The sequence below is a fragment of the Homo sapiens genome, chromosome 3 (genome assembly GCF_000001405.40).
Source record: "Homo sapiens chromosome 3, GRCh38.p14 Primary Assembly".
NCBI classification, from domain to species: Eukaryota; Metazoa; Chordata; class Mammalia; order Primates; family Hominidae; genus Homo; species Homo sapiens.
The window spans coordinates 64,165,121-64,186,879 of record NC_000003.12 but is presented as its reverse complement, the minus strand read 5'-3'; the positions used below and the strand labels follow the sequence as shown (position 1 = coordinate 64,186,879).

Below are 21,759 nucleotides of genomic sequence, written 5' to 3'. Positions count from 1 at the left end.
GTGTGAGAGTTAATGTAGTATCAAGATGATCTCCTCTGCCTTATGACGCAGGAGATATTTTGAGTAATTTCATGGGATGATTGGATTAATCCACCACCAAATCAGCAAGTAACTAACTTCCTTCCTCAATCTATTTATCTGCCTGTGCCTTCCTTTATGCATTTATTTGTGCATTCAGCCATTTATTCGTTCAACAGTTGTTTATTAAGTACCCATATGTGCAAGCTGTTAGTATAGGTGTGATTTCAATATGGCAGTTTTCCAGGTCCAATCAAAAACTGGAGCTTTCCAACACCAGTCTTTATATGTTGCTTTAGGTGGCCTGGAGCCATACAAAGGTAGATGTAGAAAGTGTCTCATGGAAGACCCATGCAGACATCAGGCTTTGTGCTGGCCTCCGATAACTTCTGTCTTTTGAGTAACTATCCTTCTGGGCTCATAAGTGTTTGAGAGTCTAAGCTTCGATGATAACTAGCTCTGTGTTCAAATTTTAGCTGTGCTGCTTTCCAACATTGGCCAAGTTAATTCACCTCCCCAAACTTTCATCTCATCTTCTGAAAAACAAGGATGTCAGTACTTAACTACAGCATAGTTGTGAAAATTAAATGAAACAATGTTTTAAACATTTGGGGTTTTTAAAGTGGCTGCTCTTAGTTTTCTTTTCCATAGTCAAAAATTGGAAATAACTCAAAAGTCTATCCACAGGTACATGGATAAACATATTGTATTATATCTATATAGTATACTACTACTTCACAATAAAAGTGAATGAACTGTTGATCTATGCAAAGTGAATCAGAGTCTGAGAATCATTATTCCAAATGAAAGAAGCCAGGCAAAATAGTACACACTATGTGATTTCATTTATATAAAACTCTAGAAAATGCAAACTAATCTGTAGTGACAGAAAGCAGATCAATGGTTACTTGGGGATGGGGAAATGAGAGGGAGGAACGACAAAAGGATTGACAAGAGTTCTGGGGGTGATAGGTACATTTGCTATCTTGATTATGTTGATGCTTTCATGGGTACATACATATGTTGGAACTTACCAAATTGTATACTTGCATGTGATTTATTATATGTTGATACCTCGATAAAGTGATGGAATAAATGAATGAATGAAGTTACTCTTTAGCAAACAGGAAGGCAAGCTTCCTCCCATGCCAATGGTGGAGGCTTCCTAAGGTTTCATCAATTGCCTCAGGGAGTAGCTAAGTCTTTTGCCAAGCTTTTGTCAGAAAGAACTGCTCAGTATTAATCATGCACAATGAAAAGGAGATTTGGGGTAGAAACTCATCAACATCCAGATGGATGGCACAAGAAAATGAGTTCCACAGACTGGCTCATTTCATAATCTCTAAGCTCCCAAGGACAGTGCCTAACACGTAGTTGGCACTCAGTAAACAGTGGTGGTAGTTGTTATTGCTATGGCAATTATTAGAGTGGTACAAAAGTAATTGCTGTTTTTGCCATTACTTTTATCAGATAATCTAGCTTGGGGACTGACTTTTTCTAATTCTTAGTTGGGAGGCTGTCTTTTCCTAACTTACTGAAAGATACCAAAAATTCTAGCAGCAATCTAGGGGGGGTCTGTAAACATTAACTTCCCTACAATCCTGGGGTCCTGAGAAACCTTTCTGACTCTTGCCAAAGGGTGTTAGGAAAAAAGAGGTGGTGTCTCCATCCTCACTGGATCCAGTGTTTGGTGAGAAGGTAATAATTTCCTCAGGGTTGATGATCAAAATTGTGAACACTTAATCTCTGTATGTTCCCAAGGACAATATCTAACATGTAGGCCCTAACATTTGGGCTTGTATTATAGTCTCCTTTCTCTTCCATCATTATGTAAGTTATTGCAAGAATCATAGCCTTAGAGAGGCAACCAGGGAAAAAAGCTGCAGTGCCAACCAACTAAGTTTGCCAACCACTTGGCAATTCTACGTGTGTTGAGAGAGAAGGTCAAATGACATGGATAAATTTGAGGTTGGGCTTGAACATAGTTGTGAAACATCCATCTTCTTTTGTGCCCCATTGCTGTGTGGATAGTCAAGAATTCATCTGGATGGTGAATATGCCATGAGAAACAGCTCTTCTGGCCTGGAACAGTGACTCATACCTGTAATCCAAGCTACTTGGAGCCTGAGACAGGAGGATCGCTTGAATGATGGCTTGAGTCTAGGAGTTTGAAACCAGCCTGGGCAGCATAGCGAGATTCCATCTCAAATTTTTTTTTTTAAATCAGTCAGTCATTGGTGTGGGCCTGTAGCCCCAGCCATTCAGGAGGCTGAAGCTGGCAGATTGCTTGAGCTCAGGAGTTCAAGGCTGCAGTGAGCTATAATAGCACCATTGCATTACAGCTGGGTGACAGAGCAAGGCCCTGTGTCTTAAAAAAAATAAAATTAAAATAACTAAACATAACTAAAAGAAACAGCTCTGCTGAAATATGATCAGTGGGACCATTTTCTGTGGTCTTTCTCAAGCACAGTAATTAAGAGCCATGGCTGTGGTATCAGACGCAGCTGGGACCTGATCCAGTTCTGCCACTGTCCAGCTATATTTATGATTGGAGCAAGTTGTTTTACCTTGTTGAGGTCATTCTTTCTCATCTATAAAATGAAGACAGTAATGTTTCCTGCCTTATAGAGCACTTAATCAGTACCTGGCATTTCAAGAAATGTATATCTTTCCAGACTAGAATGGCCAATTGTTTTGAAAACACTTTTCTTGGTAAGGCCTATCTGGGGAAACAAGACTGAGATCTAAGTCTGAAGTTCTTGTCCATAGATGTTGGGGGCAAGAATTAAAGCATTCTAAGATATAAGCAAAACAAGACAGAACAGAAATTCTTAAGCCCAAACCTTGGATTTAATATTTAAGAAAACAGTCTCAGAGAACGTACATGACTTGCTCATTGTCGCATAGGGCCAGTGCTTAGGGAGCAGTTAATATACCACTCTTCCCCTACGACATCAGGGTAAATACCCAGGGAATGTAGACTGGGAAGATACACAGAAAAGAGAGCATTCAAGTGCAGAAAAAGTCATGGATCAGAAAAGTTTGTTTTCAGGCAGTGATCAAGTGGCCTTGACCAAGTTTCTTTGCATCTTCTAGCTTCTATTTCCCATTTGGATTGTAAAGATGTGAAATATTTTCTTTCCATTATAAAGTAAAAATAAACATGGCAATGTTTCCAAATTGTTAGAAGAAAGATGATGATAGAGTTCATGAACAGTAATTACTATTGCTGTGATATACTCTATAGCTTTCATAATTTTTGCCTTTTTGGTCTATCAATGCCGAATGAAGGCAACTTAAAATCTTTCTCTGTAATTATAGATTTGTTTTTCCTTAGATTTCTGTTTTTGCTTTATGCATTTGAGGCTATGTTTTTAGGTGCCCACAAGTTATAGTATATAATATATAATATAACCTATGGTTATACTATAGTTTTGATAGATTATTCTTTTGTAACATTCCTTATAAATATATGTGTTATTTTGTTTATTTGAACATAAAATAACTTTTAAAATTTTATGAACAGCTACATAATATTTTTCAGGAATAGAAGTAGTGAACTGGTGGCCATTATAAAACGGGTCAATAAATTGTATCACTAATAATTTTGAAATGACCAAGGATCTATTAATTGTAACATCCCTTTATATCTTGCCTAATTGTATTTGTTCAAATTCTGGTTTCTATAATACTAACATTGCATACTAGCTTTCTTTTGGTGAGTAATTGCAAGACTATGCTTTTCCATTCTTTTATTTTAAGCCTTTTCTTATGGTTTTAAGTGGGACTCTGCAAGCAGCACATGATAGATATTGCATTCCTATTATTCCAAACTGATAATCCATCTTTTAATTGATGGGTATAATACATTTAAATTTATTATAATAACTTATATAATCATTCCTACCACTTTATTTTCTATTTGCTATCTTTTTTCCTCTGCTTTTTTCTGTTTTCTTGTGTTCTATTTTTTTTAATGAAGCCTTCCCAGTTTTCTTCATTTTCCTTTGCTTGGTGGAAAGATACAGAATATATTTATATTCTTAGAGTGGTTATTCGCCATTTCTTAACATCCAGCCACACTGGATCCTTGTCTTAGTCTGTTAGCCACTTGTCTTAGTCTGTTTTGTGCTGCTATAACAGAATACCTGAGACAGTGTAATTTATAAAGACCAGAAATTTATTCTCTCACAATTCCAGAGGCTGAAATGTTCAGGATCAAGGCACCAGCATCTGGTGAGGGCTTTCTTGCTGCATCCTCAGGTGGTGAAAGGCCAAAGGGCAAAAGAGGGAATGTGTCCCCACATGGCAGAAGAACAGAAGAGATGAACCCACTCCAGCAAGTCCTTTTTTTTTTTTTTCTTTCTGAGACAAGGTTTCATTCTGTCACCTAGGCCAGAGTGCAGTGGTGCAATTATAGGTCACTGCAGCTTCAACCTCCCTGCACTCAGATGATCCTCCATCCTCCCACCTCAGCCTCCCAGGTAACTGGGACTGTAGATGCGCACAACCACTCCCAGCTACTTTTTGTATTTTTTGTAGAGACAGGGTTTCACCTTGTTGCCCAGGCTGGTCTCTAACACCCGGACTCAAAGGATCTTCCACCTTGTCCTCCCAGAGTGCTGAGATTACAGGTGTGAGTGACCACAACCACGCCTGGCCACAAGCCCTCTTTATGTCAGCATTAATCTATTCCAAGCAACTTCCAAAAGGTCCCATCTCCCAACACTGTTGCATTGGGGAATAAGTTTCCAACACATGAATTTGGGGGTACAAATTCAGACCATAGGGCCACTCTTCAAGAACTCCAAGCTTCCTCCCACCTCATGCCTTTGCACTTGCTGTGCTTTCCTCCCTCTATCACTTTTAACAAAGCTCCAGTTATTCAGCATTTTTGTCTTCCTTCTTAATAGTGATCTTCTGTGACACACGTTTTAATGCCACATCTTAGATTACCCATGAAAGATTTTTCTTCCCGCCTTGAGTAGCCTGCATCTCAATATACTTCTGAATCAATTCACCAGACCTTGGGTTCATATTCACTCAAGCCAAAGTAAGATATAATTTTGGGTAGTTTCTCTTTAAAACAAAATCATATGAATACTAAGAATTTTAAGATCATTTTATGTCTGTTATTTTTCACACATCTTTGCTCCCTTCACTTAACACATTAACAACGGATTCTGAAACTCCCATTTTCAAAGGTTACTTCCTAAACATGTGGTAGAAAAGTTAAGATTGTTTTTTTTTCTTTTCAATCCATTTTCTGCCTAGTTTCCGAAAGGATCTGGAAGAGCTGTCAGTAGAATAACTAAAACAAGGGGAAAGCATGCTATAGGCAACAAAGAGAAAGGACATAATTATAATAGATAACCAAAACTAAAGGGCACTAGTAGAGTAAGGCAATGTTGTTGGCTAACCACCTAACAGTATCTCCAGTTTTGGATGAAGACTGTGATAGCAAGAGGATGAGCGTTGTTTTAGTCTGGATGTTGGGACTGTCAGGATGCGGAAGGATGCCTGCCAGAACTGCTTTTTTGGGTCTGAGCCTCATTGATGCTGAGTGCTTGTCTCTCACAATTGTTGGCTAACACCTTTTGTTGCTTCTCATGCCACTCCTAGAGCAATCAGAAGACTCTGTCGTGAGCCAGGAAGAGGTACTGTATAAACGGAATTCTATAATCTGTAAAATATAACAAAGTGAATGGCCTGAGACTAATAATTCAGAAGCTATAACTTGCCCAATTATCAGTGGTGATTTATTTCCTAGGTCTTCTCAATGAAAATGCTACACACGAATGAGTTGCCAGATCATTTCATTTGTTATAGATTCTGATTGCTGGGGCCAGCATCTTCCCTGTGATCCTTGATTGTCTTATTAAAAACAGAAGGAAAGTTGCTTATGAAAGGACTTAAATGTAAGTGTAGACACACTGTCTGACTCATTTTCTCCCCATTGATTTTCACCATAATTTCAGAGAATTTACCACAGAAAAACATTTGTTCCCAACACGTAATAAAAATCACTCTCAGCTGGGCGGTGGCTCACACCTGTAATCCTGGTACCTTGGGAGGCCAAGATGGGTGGATCACGTGAGGTCAGGAGTTTGAGACCAGCCTGGCCAACATGGTGAAACCCCGTCTCTACTAAAAACACAAAAATTAGCCGGATGTGGTGGCACATGCCTGTAATCCCAGCTACTCAGGAGGCTGAGGCAGGAGAATTGCTTGGACCCAGGAGGTGGAGGTTGCAGTGAGCAGAGATAGTGCTACTGCACTCCAGCCTAGGTGACAGAGTGAGACTTTATTAAAAAAAAAAATCATTCTCAAATTGTCAAATTTGTAGATACTGAAAGGAAAATGGTGGCTTCCAAGGGCTGAAGGGGAGGAGAATGGGAAGTGAGTGGTTAATGAGTACAGAGTTTCAGTATGGGAAGATAAAAGAAGTTCTGGAGAAGGATCGTGGTAGCAGTTGCACAACTATGTGAATGTATTTAATGCTGCTGAAAAGTGGTAAAAATGCTAAATTTTATATTCTGTATATTTTACCGCAAAATAAATAAACACATACATACATAGATAACTCTCAGGAATTGGAGCAGTCCCTTCAAGGACCACATGGTCTTTGTTGAGGATGAACCTGGGCACATTAACTTCTCTTGCACAGACCAAAGGGGAAACAAATTCACCAAGCCTGAGTTAGTTCCCATAATCCTCATTATATAACATACGCACATAACATTCAAAGTATGCACATTACTCAATAATGCAGTTGATTTCTACCTTCTTTGGAGTTCAAACTGATCCATGTGGCTTTCATGATTAAGCAGCCACTCTGGCCTGTTTAGTATTTAAGGTTTTAGCAGGAATTGCAAGCTTGAAGAATGAACTGTGACTACACTGCTCATTGATTCATCAAATACATAGGACAGAGTGTAATCCTTTGACTAGTTTTGGGAGACAGTGGGGTGGAATGGATAGAGAATGAGCTTTGAAGTCAGACCTAAATTTAAATCCTGGCTCAGCCCTTTACTCCTTGGTGATCAAATGGTTTATAATTTTGTTGATCCCCATTTTTCATGATTCTGTATTTGCAAATGTGCCCACTTGCCAAAATTTATTTGTAACCCCAAAATCAATACTTGCGGCAGCACTTTCATGGTCATTTGCAGACTTTACTTGTACCCTGAAAATCAATATTTGCAGCACTCTCGTGGTCATTAACAGGCATACACTGAGGGATAAAAAATTTGAATTGCCTAATGCATACATGGCCAGCTGAGGTAGAACAGCTAATTCTATGCTTTCTTATTCCAGCTCACAGACTGAATAAACAAGTGGTCTATTTAGGGCCACTTTTTTGCATCCTATGCTTTTTGTTGGTGATTTCACTGTTTAAAATAGCCCCAAGCATAGTGAAGTGCCATCTAGTGTTTCTAAAAGCAAGAAGGCTGTGATGTGCTTTATGGAGAAAATACGTATGTTAGGCCAGGCACGGTGGCTCACACTTGTAATCCCAGAACTTTGGGAGGCTGAGGCAGGCGGATCACCTGAGGTAGTGAGTTCGAGTCCAGCCTGACCAACATGGAGAAACCCCATCTCTACTAAAAATACGAAATTAGCCAGGCATGGTGGTACATGCCTATAATCCCAGCTACTCTGGAGGCTGAGGCAGGAGAATCACTTGAACCCAGGAGGTGGAGGTTGTGGTGAGCCGAGATCGTGCCATTGCATTCCAGCCTGGATGACAAGAGCGAAACTCAGTCTGAAAGAAAGAGACAGAGAGAGAGAGAAAAGAAAAAGAAGAAAGAAAGAAGGAAAGAAAAGAAAGAAAGAAAGAAAGAAAGAAAGAAAGAAAGAAAGAAAGAAAGAAAGAAAGAAAGAAAGAAAGAAAGAAAATATGTATGTTAGATAATCTTCAGTCAGGCATGAGTTATAGTGCTGTTGGGCATGAGTTATAGTGCTGTTGGCCATAAGTTAAATGTTAATGAATCAACAATACATATTAAGTAAGTTGCCCTTAAAAAGAAACACACATGAAACAAGGTTATGGATTAATGGGTTAACGAAAATGTTGGGACCAGAGGCTCACAGGAACCTAACCCCATATTTCTCCTAGGAGGAATGTTTAGTATTCAGAAATTCAGTGTTTGCTGTGATTTTATAGCACATAACTGCCATGAATAAAGAGAATCACTTGTGTTTACCTTTGCAAAATGTAATATCCTGTTTACATAGTACTCTCTTCTTTCCCTGCTGTGGCAGGGATTATGGCTATTTACAAATGGTTGGTTCCTTCTTCTTCCAGGCACAAAGGGGGAATGTACTTTCTCAGTCCGTTTAAAGTTAGGCATGTCCATGAGACTTGCTTTCACCAATGAAACCTGAACAGAAGTCACATGTATCATATCCAGGAAAAAAGCTTTTCACTGCCAGTGTTCAGCTCCAACCATCCTTTTCTCTGCTGCCATCCTCATGGAGGCATATCTCCATATGGAGCCCCCATCACCTGGGTCTCTGCCTACCTATAGGAGGATACAGTGTGAGACAGAAATAAAATCATGGTATAGATAAGGGTTTAAGATACAGAATATATACGGTTCAACAAGAAGACAACTCAGTTAAAAGATGACTGAAGGACTTCAATCAACATCTCTCCAAAGACAATATACGGTCGGCTGATAAGCACATGAAAAGATGTCCAACATCATTAGTCATTAATATAATGCAAATCAAAACCACAATGAGATACTGCTTCAGACCTACTAAGATGGTTATAATTTTAAAAACTGGAAAATAAATGTTGGTAAGGATGTGGAGAAACTGGAATTTCTGTGCATTGCTGGTGACAATGTAAAATGGTGCAGCCACTTTGGAGCACTGTTTGGCAGTTTCTCTAAAAGCTAAACAGAATTACCATATCATCCAGTAATTCCACTCCTAGGTATATATGCAACATAATTGAAAGCAGAGATTCAAACATAATTGTACGCCAACATTCACTGAAGCATTATCCACAGTAGTGAAAAGGTAAAAACAACCCAAATTCCGTCAACAGATAAAAATGGATAAACAAAATGTGGTATATACATGCAGTGAAATAATAGCCACAAGCAAAGTCCTGACACATGCTACAACAGAAATTAGCCTTGGAAACATATTAGGTGAAATAAGCAGACACAAAGGACGAATATTGCATGATTCCACTTATATGAAGTATCTAGACTAGGCAGACTCATAGAGACAGACAGTAAATTAGAGGTTACCAGGGGCTGAGGGGAGGAGAAATGGGGAATTATTATTTATTTGGTGTAGAGTTTCTGTTTAACATGATGAAAAAGTTTTGTGACGAGATAGTGGTGATGATTGCATGATATTGTGAATGTACCCAGTGCCACTGAATTGTACACTTAAAAATGGTTAAAATGAGGCCAGGCATGGTGGCTCACGTCTATAATCCCAGCACTTTGGGAGGCTGAGGCAAGTGGATCGAGGTCAGGAGTTCGAGACCAGCCTGGCCAACATGGTGAGACCCTGTCTCTATTAAAAATACAAAAAACTAGCCGGGTGTGGTGGTGAGTGCCTGTAATCCCAGCTACTCGGGAGGCTGAGGCAGGAGAATCACTTGAACCCGGGAGACGGAGGTTGCAGTGAGCCGAGATCACGCCATTGCATTCCAGCCTGGGCAACAAGAGTGAAACTCTGTCTCAAAAAAAAAAAAAAAAAAAAAAAAAAAGGTTAAAATGGCAAATCTTGTAATGTGTATACCACAATAAAAAATTTTAATTAAAAAACACTGCAGTACAAAACTAGTGATATTTTGGTGGTGTTTGAGATATTGTGTCATACTCTAGCTCATCCAAACCAAACCTTCTTTCCTGTCTGTTTCTCTAAAGTGGCATAATATAGGCCCTTTAGGGTTTTATGGCTATACGCAAACTATAACCCGCAGGCCAAGATATTACCTTCACTGATCTTTTGGCGTTTTGGAACTGGAAAGACTGAATTCTCACAATTGTTTTTATGATTCATTTGAAACTTAGTGGGCAAGGCAAGTTACTCAGGCTGAAAGTAGCCGTGGTAGTCAGAAATACATCCTTTGTAATGTATAAGTGAGTTCCTTCATTTTCATATTTTCTGGTCACTTCTCAATCATGTATTTAATGTGCAGAAATGAAACTGCCTTAAATGAACTGACTTGAAACAAAGGTTACCTGTATTCTAAAATGTGTTTCCAACAATGTCCTGTGATCAGTAAGCTCCAGTCTCTTGCAAAAAGAATTCTTTCTTTGGATTATAGCATGTGTCATTATGAATCACTTTGGACACTTGAAAACTTGAATTGGTCCTAGAATTTCCTTCTGTCTTTGCTTTCTAAACTTTATTCAAACTGGCTTTGCATAACCCTGTGAAACTAATAGTAATAGAGGAGGGTAATGGACTAATTATGTCATATGTGAAGTGCAGAATCAAAAACAATGATTTAAAATGCACAGAAAAGATACCATGTAGGACACTCCTAAGGACTCCACATAAGAAAGAGATAACTCAAAATTCAGATATTCTTTGGAGACAGATTGCTAGGTGTCACCCAGTTTTAGCATCTCCTCCTTTCCTAATAACGGAACCTGATTGTATTCTGGGCAGCAGTATGCCCTACTAAGGACCCTGTTTCCTAGCTTCCCTTGCAGCTAGTCCTATTCAAGGAATTATAAATAGGAGGTTAGTACTTCTAGTAAAACTCTTTAAATGTTGTTGATCCATCTGCCTCTTACCCTTACCCACCTTCTTACCTCGAACGTGAATGTGATGGTTGAGACTCCAGTAGCCATTTTGCAGTTTTGAGCATAGATGTCACTAACACATGGATGATGGGTACAGAAAGACAGGAAGAGCCTAGGTGCTTCATGGTTTTTATAAAATGCCAAACCAGTCCTAGGCCACTATTCTCGGGTCATGATTACTAGCAGCCCAAAGCAATTATAATTTCTAGTTTTGTTGTTATTTTTAATAATAATAAAACTAATCTGACAATTATGTACAGCCTTATAGTTCACAGTGTATTTTCATTCTTTTGTCACTTTATTTTAAAATATGTTTATTTTTATTACATTTTATATTGAACACCAGCAAAGAAAATAATTGTAATAATTTCAAAATGCAATACCTGGATTCAATAAATATCCTGTATAATCAATTATACCAGTCAATATCTAGAAATGCATGTAGATGTAATGAACAAAATGACTAAACTATAAATCTAAGGGAACTTAAAGCTTTGATCTTTGTTAACTTAAAACAATTCAGTTTCATATGAAGAAATTCAAGAAGAAAATTTCGGGACCCTTGATCAGAAGCTTGCAATGCTTGTTGTACTACTTTGGTGTAGACAAATATTCAAATAAGGCCAAGAAAGAAGAGTGTTTCCACTGAAGACACGATCTAAGAAGTAGGTGAACTAGTGTTCTGTAGAAACTAACTAGCTAGCCATCAAGATATTTCCACTAAAGACTCCTTACACTAGCAACTAACCATGTTTAAAAAAACCTTAGCCAGTATTACAAAAACAAAACATATAGAGTAGTGTTCATGAATACAAGCATAATAGGTTCCTTGCCTTCTACAAAAATAATCATCTTTGAAATGCTAAAAGCAGGTTTCAACTGGGGTTCCTCTCTGTGATGAGAAGGTGCAGATACACATGGGGTGATCCACTGATTTACCTTCTCAAAGTATTCTTTGGAAACAGTTTGATTTGACTTGATTGTAGGAGACTCTAGTGTCCAGTTTGCTGGGCAGACTTCTCCATGGGTTTTTTTTACAAACTGGAATGCCTTTACCAAGCAGAGGGTGTCTTCCACGTTTTAGCCCACTGGGAGGTCACTGACACTCAAATGCTTGATAAATTCATGGGGTCAATTATGAAGACTCCTCTTAGTGCAAACCAGGACCTTCTAACAGCACACCATAGTCTCAGGAAATGTGTTTAATTAAATCTGAGAAAAGTGTGATGTTCATGTGGCCCAAATCACCATTCTTTCTTGGTATATTTATCCAAGCAAGATGGCTAAAGTGGGAATCCACTAAGACTGCAACAACTTCACAGTTCACATTGTAAAATTCATTCTTTATCACTAACAGCAAGAAATTGTTGTCGACACACAAAGGTGAAATCCAAAGGATAGGAGAAAAGCACCAAACATTTCCCCTCATTATCATCAAGGCTTAGATCTTTGAACTCTGCATTGACAAAGGCTGTACCTTTAAAATAGGGTGACAGCAAGTGCATGGTATGAGGAAATTGTGCCAAAGGCGAATTCTGCTCGACCAGAATCAGACCACAATATGTTTGTCAAGCATGTTTTCCCCAGAAGCCACAGGCCTAAGGACTGCAGAGACAGGATGGTGTGCACATGTCGGTCAACCGAAGCTAGGGACAACCTTCCCACAGCGGCTGCCATCTTCAGTGCCTTGCAGGAGCCACCTTTTCATCACTTTAAATCCTCACAATAACTGTATGAGATGAATACAAGTATTCTAGTCCTAGAGATAAGGACAATGAAGCCCAGAGTAGGTAGTTAACTTGGCCAAATATTGCACGCTTAGAATTTGTCATGGTTAGGACTCAAACATTCAACATCAAATGCAGTTTCTTTCTCCTATACTGTAGGTAAATATTAACTCAGTTGATACTGGAGTAGCTATTCCCAAAGTGGAGAATCTTTTTTTTCTCTATTAAGAATCACTGACCTACTAGAACACAGTTTGATAACAACGTACTAGCATAAAAAAGGAGTTTTATTAAGGTTTGGGAGGGGGTTTTGTTGTTGTTTTTCTTCTTCATGGGGAACTACACTATGTTTAACTCACATCCTCTTTACTTTGAGAAAACAAAACACCTGCCAATACATAAATAATTGTGAGTGTTCATCAGTTCTTATTATTCCTGGGAGTTTAGAAAGGAGACAGGAGGGAGAAAAGAAAAGCGTGGTTTAGAGAAAGGGCAAAATTCTGGAGATTCGGAAAAGGCTGGGAGACAGAAGAGCTGTGACTATTCTGAAGTATGTGTCAGCTGAGATAGACAACTTGGCTTAATGTGTGATTTGCTGGGACCGTTGAAGACAGAGTTGGGCAACAGATCAGTTGTCATCGTACTCTTCAAAGTGCTCTTTAGCTGTTTAATCTCATTTACAGCTCTTCTACTGCTCTTTTTACTTTTTAAAAGAGAATTTGCCAAGGATACTGGCCATTTAAGCTTCTGACAGAATGCTAGAGCCGGCCTCATACTGCCTTGCAAGAGCCAATTGGTCAGTTTTCAGGAATTTTGTAAATCCATTGTTAAATACAGCCATTATGAAAATTTAATTATATAAACTTATAATTAAATAAATTATATTTTTTAAAGATGATAAATACTTGAAATTCATCACTTCCTATTTAATTTATCCTATTCCACTGTTATCTATGTTCTTGAGACTGTTTTGCCTATTATATCTGTATAGTGGGAGTACTGTGTGATGGTATGCTATGTATAGCTCTTCCCAGTTCCACATCCGATGACATCACATTGGTAGCTTGAATGTGGGATTCATAGTGGGATCACATACCCTATGGAAATTGGCAAATGCTACAAATCAGTACCTAACTTATTTTTTATTGAATCTTTGTAGTGTTTTTGTCTACCTATTATGGCTTTTGCATTATTTTAACTTTGTATTGTAGTCATTTGTCTACTTGTCTTATACCCTCTGCCAAATATAACCTCTTTCCACCTAGGGGTGGTTTCCCATTCATGTGTGTGTTCTTTCCCCACAAGCACTCAACAGTTCCTTACACTTGCGTATCACAGATAACAGAATAGCACAGACTGGGTGGCTTAAACAACAGAAATTTATTTTCTCACAGTTCTGGAGTCCAAAAGCTCAAGATCAAGATGTCAGCAGGGTTGATTTCTGGTGAGGCTTTTCTTCCTGGCTTGCAGATGGCCTTTTCTCTGTGCATGCTCCTGGTTATCTCTTCCTCTTCTTACAAGGACACCAGTCTTATTGAATAGGGCCCCAGCCTTATGACCTCATTTAATCTTAATTACCTCCTTAAAGGCCCTATCTATAAATATAGTCACACATAGGGGTTAGGGATTTGATATGTGAATCACAGGGGGTACACAATTCTGTTTATAACATAGACATTTATGAATTATGCATTAGACTGCTTCAAAGCCAAGAAATATAGAGCCTTCAGCCTGTGCCTCTCTCTTTGTTAGTTACACGATATCATTTGAGCCTCTTATTAATGCTTCAAGGTAGATATTATTGTCCCCAATTTACAGATGGAGATATTAACTTTCTACAAGAGATCAAATAACTTGCCCAACTACATGCAGATGGTAAGTGTTACATCCATTATTGGAACCCAAACAATCTGACTGCAGAGTCCAAACAAGTTACCCCTATAAGAAACTGCCATCCTTCTTTTTTCATACTTATGTATGTGTGTATTTTATCTAAAGGCAGTATTGAAACTGTTGTCAAATGAAGTTAGCAACTGTTGGGGAATTTTTAATAGGGCATATACGCAAATGCGTAGACAATCTGCAAAGGGTGTTTTGATAAAATTGGGATGAGGGAGTCTATTTAAGTGTAGCTTAAGTAGAAAATGTTCAAACCCCAAGTTCTTCCATTTCTGCAACCTTTTCTTTAACACAAGATAAAATAAATGTCAGATAATGCTCCAAACTAAATGGAATGTATTTTCTAACAAAACATTGAAGTTTAATATTCTAAATAAAATAATAAACAGGGTTGGAAAGAGTGGTCATGTGAGAACTAACAGGCATAGGAGCAAAGCAACTCATGTGATTCTGAATTATGGTACCGGCTTAGGGCATAACATAATTATTTTCCTTAGTTTGTTCAAACGAAGTTAACTCAACTTGAAAGAAATTCTCTGGCTTCAAATACAAATGGGTGTCGCTTTTGTCACTTCCTCTGAAATAAACAGTATATTGACAGTTATTCCATGCATCCTTTACTTAGCATCTCCACCCACCCCACAGCACTAATCTTTGGTGAAAAAAGCAAATGCTTTGATGGAATGAAAGAGAAGCTTAATGAGTTTTACTCTGTTTCCTCTTGAAATCTCGCTTGTTTATTCTCTTGCTGTATGTGTCTGTCTAGATCCTCTAATAACCCAGACAGCTAGAAAGGTAAGATTTGAATACAGCATGCATCCATTCAACAAACACTTATTGAGTATCTTGTACATGCCAGACCCTCTTCTGGGGGTATACAGCAAACACAGTCCTAAGTACTCACATTCTAGAGGGAAGAGAAAGTCAACAAACAAATAGATCATTTGTCAACAACTGATAAGTTCTTTGACAAAAAGCAGATGAAGAGTTTATCAGTTTCAGCACTGTTGGCATTTTGATGGGGATCTTTTGCTGTTGGGGCTGACCCATGTATTGTAGGAAGTTTGGCAGCGTCCCTGGCCTCTACCCACTATATGTGCCAAAGCAGCTCCCTCCCCAAGTTGCAATAACAAAAAATGTTTGTAGACATTGTCAAATATCTCTTGGGGGGTATTATTGCCCCCATTTGAGAAGTACTGGGTTGGAAGATAAGGGATAGAGGTGCTAATTTATTAGGATAGTCAAGGAAGGCAGCCAAGGTGGCCCTTGAGCAAAGACTGGAAGAAAGGAGGATGACACCATGTAAATATCTGGGGGAATAACCTTTCAGGCCGAGGGAATGGCTGGTGTAAAGGCCATGAGGTGAAAGGAACAGCAAGGAGGTCATTGTGAGCACAAGACCTGAACAAAAGGAATATGGTAAGAGACAGAGTCAGCCAGGTTGTAAGGAGTGGGGAGGTCATGGTGCTATAGTGAAGACTTTGGCTTTGCATTATAGAGGCATGGGAGATAATCCAGGGTTGTTGTTTTGGGGGTTTTGAGTTTTTTTGTTTTGTATTGTTTTGTTTTGTTTTTTTGAGATAGAATCTCACTCTGTCACCCAGGCTGGAGGGCAGTGGCGCATTCGCCACTCACTGCAGCCTCAACCTCCCAGACTCAAGTGATCCTCCCAGCTCAGCCTCCAGAGTAGCTGAGACCACAGGTGTGCACCACCACAGCCAGGCTGTTTTTTTTTTTTTTTTTTTTTTAATGTTTCTAGAGGCATGGTCTACCTTTGTTTCCCAGGCCAGTCTCGAACTCCTGGGCTCAAGCAATCATCCTCCCTTAGCCTCCCAAAGTGCTGGGATTGCAGGTATGAGCTACTGCACCCAGACCATCCAGGGTTTTGAGCAGAGCAGTGACACACCCTGGTTTATATTCCAATGGAGTTGTTATTGCTGCTGAATAGAGACTCGACTGCAGAGGCACAAAGGTGAAAGCCGGGTCCAGAAGTAGCCACAGCAATAGCTCAGGCGAGCACTTAGTCATAGCTAGACTGGTCCTGCAGGGGTGGTGGAAAATGACTGGATTCTGGATATGTTTTGAACCGACATCCAACAAGAATCACTGTTGAATTAGACATCAAGTGTGAACAAAAGAAAGGAGTCTTTGAAAGAGTCTTCTTTGAAAATACTGCAAATGAGCTTTTATTTCTGATTTTGATCCTAATCCTAGGGGAGTTCAACATGATGGAGACATTGTTTAGGCATTAGGCATTAGACTGTTGTTTCCTAAATTGCTTCCTGAGTAAACCAATTAAAATTATAATGTGGGTCTCCAGGAGAAAAGGGAAGGAGCCAAACTTGGTACAATTTCACCTCTTAAATGCCACTTAACGGCACTTTTCTCCTATTGCTTGGGTAATGAAATTCTGGCAAATAGGGGCAAAATGAACACAGGGGCCCTCATGAGCAGCCCATCCCTATTTACTCACAGCTGTAATGCTACCTGATGGTCCTCCAGGTCCCCATTTGGGAACCACTGTGTACTTTTTTAAAGACCACCACGTGCAGCAAATTCAGGCAGCATCTTTCCCTTCTCTGTACAACCTGCCTTCTGAGATGCTCAGGTGCATTTTAGATATTACCTCCCCGAATTGAGGTAGATTAAACAAGGTTCCAAGCTTCTCAAACTGCAGGTGAGGGGGCACGTGAAATAAAGGATCAGTGTTCGAATTAGTCCCTGGGTTAAGTTGGATTTTATAAAACCTTCCAAATGTATCAGCTCATGTCTGAGATTACACTTCAGGAGGGTTGGCCTTTACCTTGTGTTTGTGTTTGCCTTTTCCTTAAACTAGTGTTTCTCCTGGAGTGGTCTGAGGTGTTAAGAGTGCATAGTTCTGGCCTCCTTTTCAGACCCAGAGGGATGAAAATGGCCATCATCTTTAATAAAGGCCTCAGATGATTCTAAAGTATGCTACTGTTTGAAAACCACTGCTGTATCATTTAGGAATTGCATTCACTTCCTAGCAACAGAGACTGTAAATAAAGAAATAGCTTATTTCTCTCACTCAGAAGTTCAGAGAAACGCAATCCAGGGTTAGTCTGGTGGCTCCATGGTATAAAAATTTTAAAAATTTTTTGAAGTCCAGGCTCATAACTTTCCGTCCTACTATCCTCAGGTTACAGCTTCCATTCCCATTTGTAAGGTTACTTCATGACACAAGATGGCTGCTGGAGCTCTAGCCATTGTGTTTACATTCCAGACAGGAAGCAGGAAGAAGGGGGAATGGGCAAAAAAAGGTCTTGGCTAACAACTGTCTAGCCTCCTTTAAAAGAGCTTCCCAGAAGTCACACCCTTCCGTGTCATTGGCCAGAATGTGTAAGGCCACATGTAGCTACTAAGGAGCTGCAGAAATATTATTCTTAGCTGAGTATATTGATGCTCTCAGTCAAATGAGGGTATTGTTAAGGAAGAAAAAAAAAATGGATATGGCTGGGAAAACTCTGCCACAACTCTCTTACCATCATGCCATGGTGTTGTGGAAAGACTGTAATTTGGAGATTTTTCACTTACTGTCTGTTCATTTTGGCTTTATTTGGGAGCTGTGTGTTGGTTATGTTCTGGGTAATACCAAAGGAAAATGTGTTCATCGTTTCTGTGGTCAGCCACGCAGACCTATTGGGAATCTACTGTATCTGGGTATGATTTGGTTTTTTCTTCCTTCTTTCCCATCCATCTGCCAGTCTCTTCAGTCTCTTTTTTTCTTGATAAAGGAGAACAGAAGGAGAGGATGGGGAAGTCAAGCTCAAAGGTGGCTCTCTCACTTTGTAACTATGTGATATTCAATCTGATGAGTATGAAATACCCACCTCCAGAGTGTGCAGAAGGTTTATGAAATACTGTGTATAAAAACGCGTCAAGCCGTAGGGTCACTCAGTAAGTCAATAGTTCGATGACCGCTTCCTTCATTCAGATCAGGCTTGTCCAACCCGTGGTCCACAGGCTGCATGCAGCCCAGGATGGCTTTGAATGCGGCCCAACAGAAATGCACAAACTTTCTTAAAACATTATGAGATTTTTTTTTTGCAATTTTTTAAAGCTCATCAGCTATCATTAGTGTTACTGTATTTTATGTGTGGCTCAAGACAATTCTTCTTCTTCCAGTGTGGCCCAGGGAAGCCAAAATATTGGGCCCCCTCCGCATCTAGATGGTGAAGAACAATTGATTCTGAAATCGGCCAAGAAAGTCTAACTTCTCCTTTGTGGGTTCCTGCTCTAAGAAAATAAGGATGCTTTTGATAAGGAAAATGTTGCCACCCAAAAATGTGAGCACTTTGCCCTTAGGATTTCTTGTTCTTGCCAGAGCTGGTAGAATCCCCTGCTGAATCATATATCTAGGTGTGGAAGGAGACACCTGAAAAATTGGGTGAGGTCCAACAAGTTCTCTTCCCTTTTCTGGGCTTCCTAGATCTCTTGAAGAAAGTGGGAATCCTACCATTTGCCTGGCAACTGCATAATGTTGGTTGTTGAGGGAAAACAGTAGAAAGCTCTAAAACTCACAAAGTGTGTTCCCTGGACTAACAGCAGGACCTGAAGAGGAGTCAGAAATGCAAATGTCCCCATCCCGGGCCTACTAAATTAGAAATCTGTGTTTTAACAGGCCTTCCAGGTGATTCTGATGCAAGCTATAGTTTGAGAACCAGTGCTCTAAATAAAGTGCTTTGCACACTTCTTTATAAAAAAAAAATCAGCTTACTTTTCATACACTTTTCTCCCAAATGCAGAGTTATTGCTTCTCCAGCCTCCATCTTTCTGCCCAGGCAGAAATGCTATCAAACGTGCAGTTCCTTCCAACAAGCCTCATCTTTCCAGCTGGGCGAGGCTTTGCTTTGTAGACTTTATATGCGCACTGACTAAAGTGCTTGCGATCTGTCTGACACACACTGAAGTTGCTGCCAAACCTTTCCTGTTGCAGAGTTACACCTTAAAGGCCTTTGGCTATTTCATTTTCATAAGCCAGTTTATTGTGTTCAAAATGCTTTTGTTTAGGGGAAAGTTACCTAGTATGATTTCACCTGGGGTGGAATCACAGGGCACCTTTATCTGGGAATGTCTAAATGGAGCAAAGTCTTTAGCACATTCAACAGACGTGCTTTTGAATAAATATGTTCAATACACACAGAATGAAAAATACAGTTATCAGCATAATGGGTAATAGCTTGGTAATGATCATCATTGACAAAATTCTATTGGATTTGCTTATTTACTCCAAAAAAAATGAACAAGTGAAACATGTTTGGACTAAAATGAACAATCTGCAGGATTTTCAGGGATTGTGCCAAATTTAATTTTTGTAGTGCCAGAAAGTATACTCAGTATTTTCCCATTACCCTTGGTTCACTTGATGTTTGTTTTGGGCCATACAGTAGTTTCACTGTGGAGAATGCCAGAGGAAAATGCAGGCAGCATTCCTGTATCCAGCCAAAGAATTCAGGAGAGCTGTTTCTCCCTCCCTCCCATCCATCCGTTAATCCCCTTTGCTCAGTGAAAAATTTGGAAAGTCCAGCATCTAAACACCAGGAGGCGACACAAAGCTAACATTAGAGGGATGCGTTTTTCTCCTGGACTTCAATGGACTTCGAAGAGGATTGGAAGTCCTGAAAGGACTAAATCATTCTCCTTCCTCAGAGCAAGCCACATCACCTACCATGTGATATGGGAGTGATTTGGTAGGTTGTTAATTAATATTAACTTATTTATTTTAGAAATGGGGCATCTTGCTACCTAGGTAAGTTCTTAAGTCATCCATCAAATTATTAGTTACCTTGTGAGAAGATATTCTAGCATATTGTATATTTGAGGAATTACTGGAATAATTTTGAGTGGTTATCAGTAGGCTTGAATTATAAAAGTTGACAAAAGATGTCCAGGAAAGATAGAGCTGTGTTCCCAAAGAGTAGTCACTGCCTCTGTTGACTTCAGAATTCAGTCTTTAGGATGGATCTCAGCACACCAAGGGACTTATTTACTCCTAAGTTTCTCCAGAGTCCTCCATCACTGCTGGCTGCACCTTCACTCAGTCATGTCATGTTGGGATTCATTTATTCTCCAGTTTTCAAAGTACTGAATGTCTCTAATCTCATTTCTGGGTGTGGACGCTGCCCAAGACAGGGTAATCAGGGTCCTTCTCTGGGGAATTTGGAATTGAGAAAAGCGAGTCACTCTAGGACAGACTCTTGAAGTGATGCTGTGCAAACTCAAGTGCTGTGGGAAACCTTAACCTTTGAGAAGGTGAGAAGCAGATCTGCAGGAAGAGAAGAGAGCAGAGGTAAGAGGACACTGGGCTCAGAGAGAACAGAAACTTGGTACAATCACCTTCCAGTGGCATATTCTATTTCCTCATGAGACCCTTTTATATACATGGCTAAGTTTCTAAAAACAAAAACAAAACAAAACACACACACACACACACACACACACACACACACACACACACACACACACACCTTTATAACAGTTTGCCATTTTTCCCCTGAAGTCAAACTAGCTTTAATACCATTGTATTCCTTGCAACGTATTTTTCTTGCTTTGACTAATATAAGTGGCTTCAGGGTTTGGTCTCACTCTACAAGCCAGCAGTGTTGCTGCCCATTCAAAAGTGGGCCTGATGGGGTGGCTCACACCCGTAATCCCAGCACTTTGGAAGGCCAAGGCAGGAGAATAGCTTGAGCCCAGGAGTTCAAGACCAACTTGGTCAACATAGCAAGACCCTGTCTCTCCAAAATATTTTAAAAATTAGCCAGGCATGGTGGCATGCGCTGGTAGTTCCTGCTACTCTGAGGTGGGAAGAGTGCTTAAGCCCAGGAGGTCAAGGCTACAGTGAGCCATGACCGCGCCACTGTACTCCAGCCTGGGTGACAGAGCAAGACCTAGTCCAGGAAGCATCTGGATTGTTCCATTTAGAGTAGGCCAGGCTTGATAGTATAACTATTGTCATGTATTCGTGTTATTTATTTTTATTAAGAGCCACATGCTTGTGCCTACACTCTCATTTAATCATCACAGTCTTATGATGAGTATTTTGAACAGCCACATAACTTGCTCAGGAACCCAGAGATGGGAAACAACAGAGCCTTGACTCGGGGTCCAGATCTACTGGCCATGCCCTAGAGGGTGCAGGGAAGATTCCAACTTGGGCCAGCCTTAGACAGTATCAGAAAGGGCTTGGTTCAAAGTACCAGTTAAGAAGGGCTCTCAGGCCTGACTGTGCTCTAGGCAATGGACAGGGGGTATGTGAGTAATTAGAGGTGATTAAGAGGAGGGTCGATGGAACCGCAACTAGACTCTGC

The 21,759-nt window shown here is 39.8% G+C and overlaps 1 protein-coding gene and 1 pseudogene across 2 annotated transcripts in view; one reads left to right on the top strand and one right to left on the bottom strand.

Moving 5' to 3' along the window:
- The window catches only part of PRICKLE2 (prickle planar cell polarity protein 2), a 175,938-nt gene that overhangs the window by 81,294 nt on the left and 72,885 nt on the right, over positions 1–21,759 (top strand). The window lies entirely within an intron of this gene.
- On the bottom strand, positions 11,533–12,502 carry PRDX3P4 (peroxiredoxin 3 pseudogene 4; annotated as a pseudogene).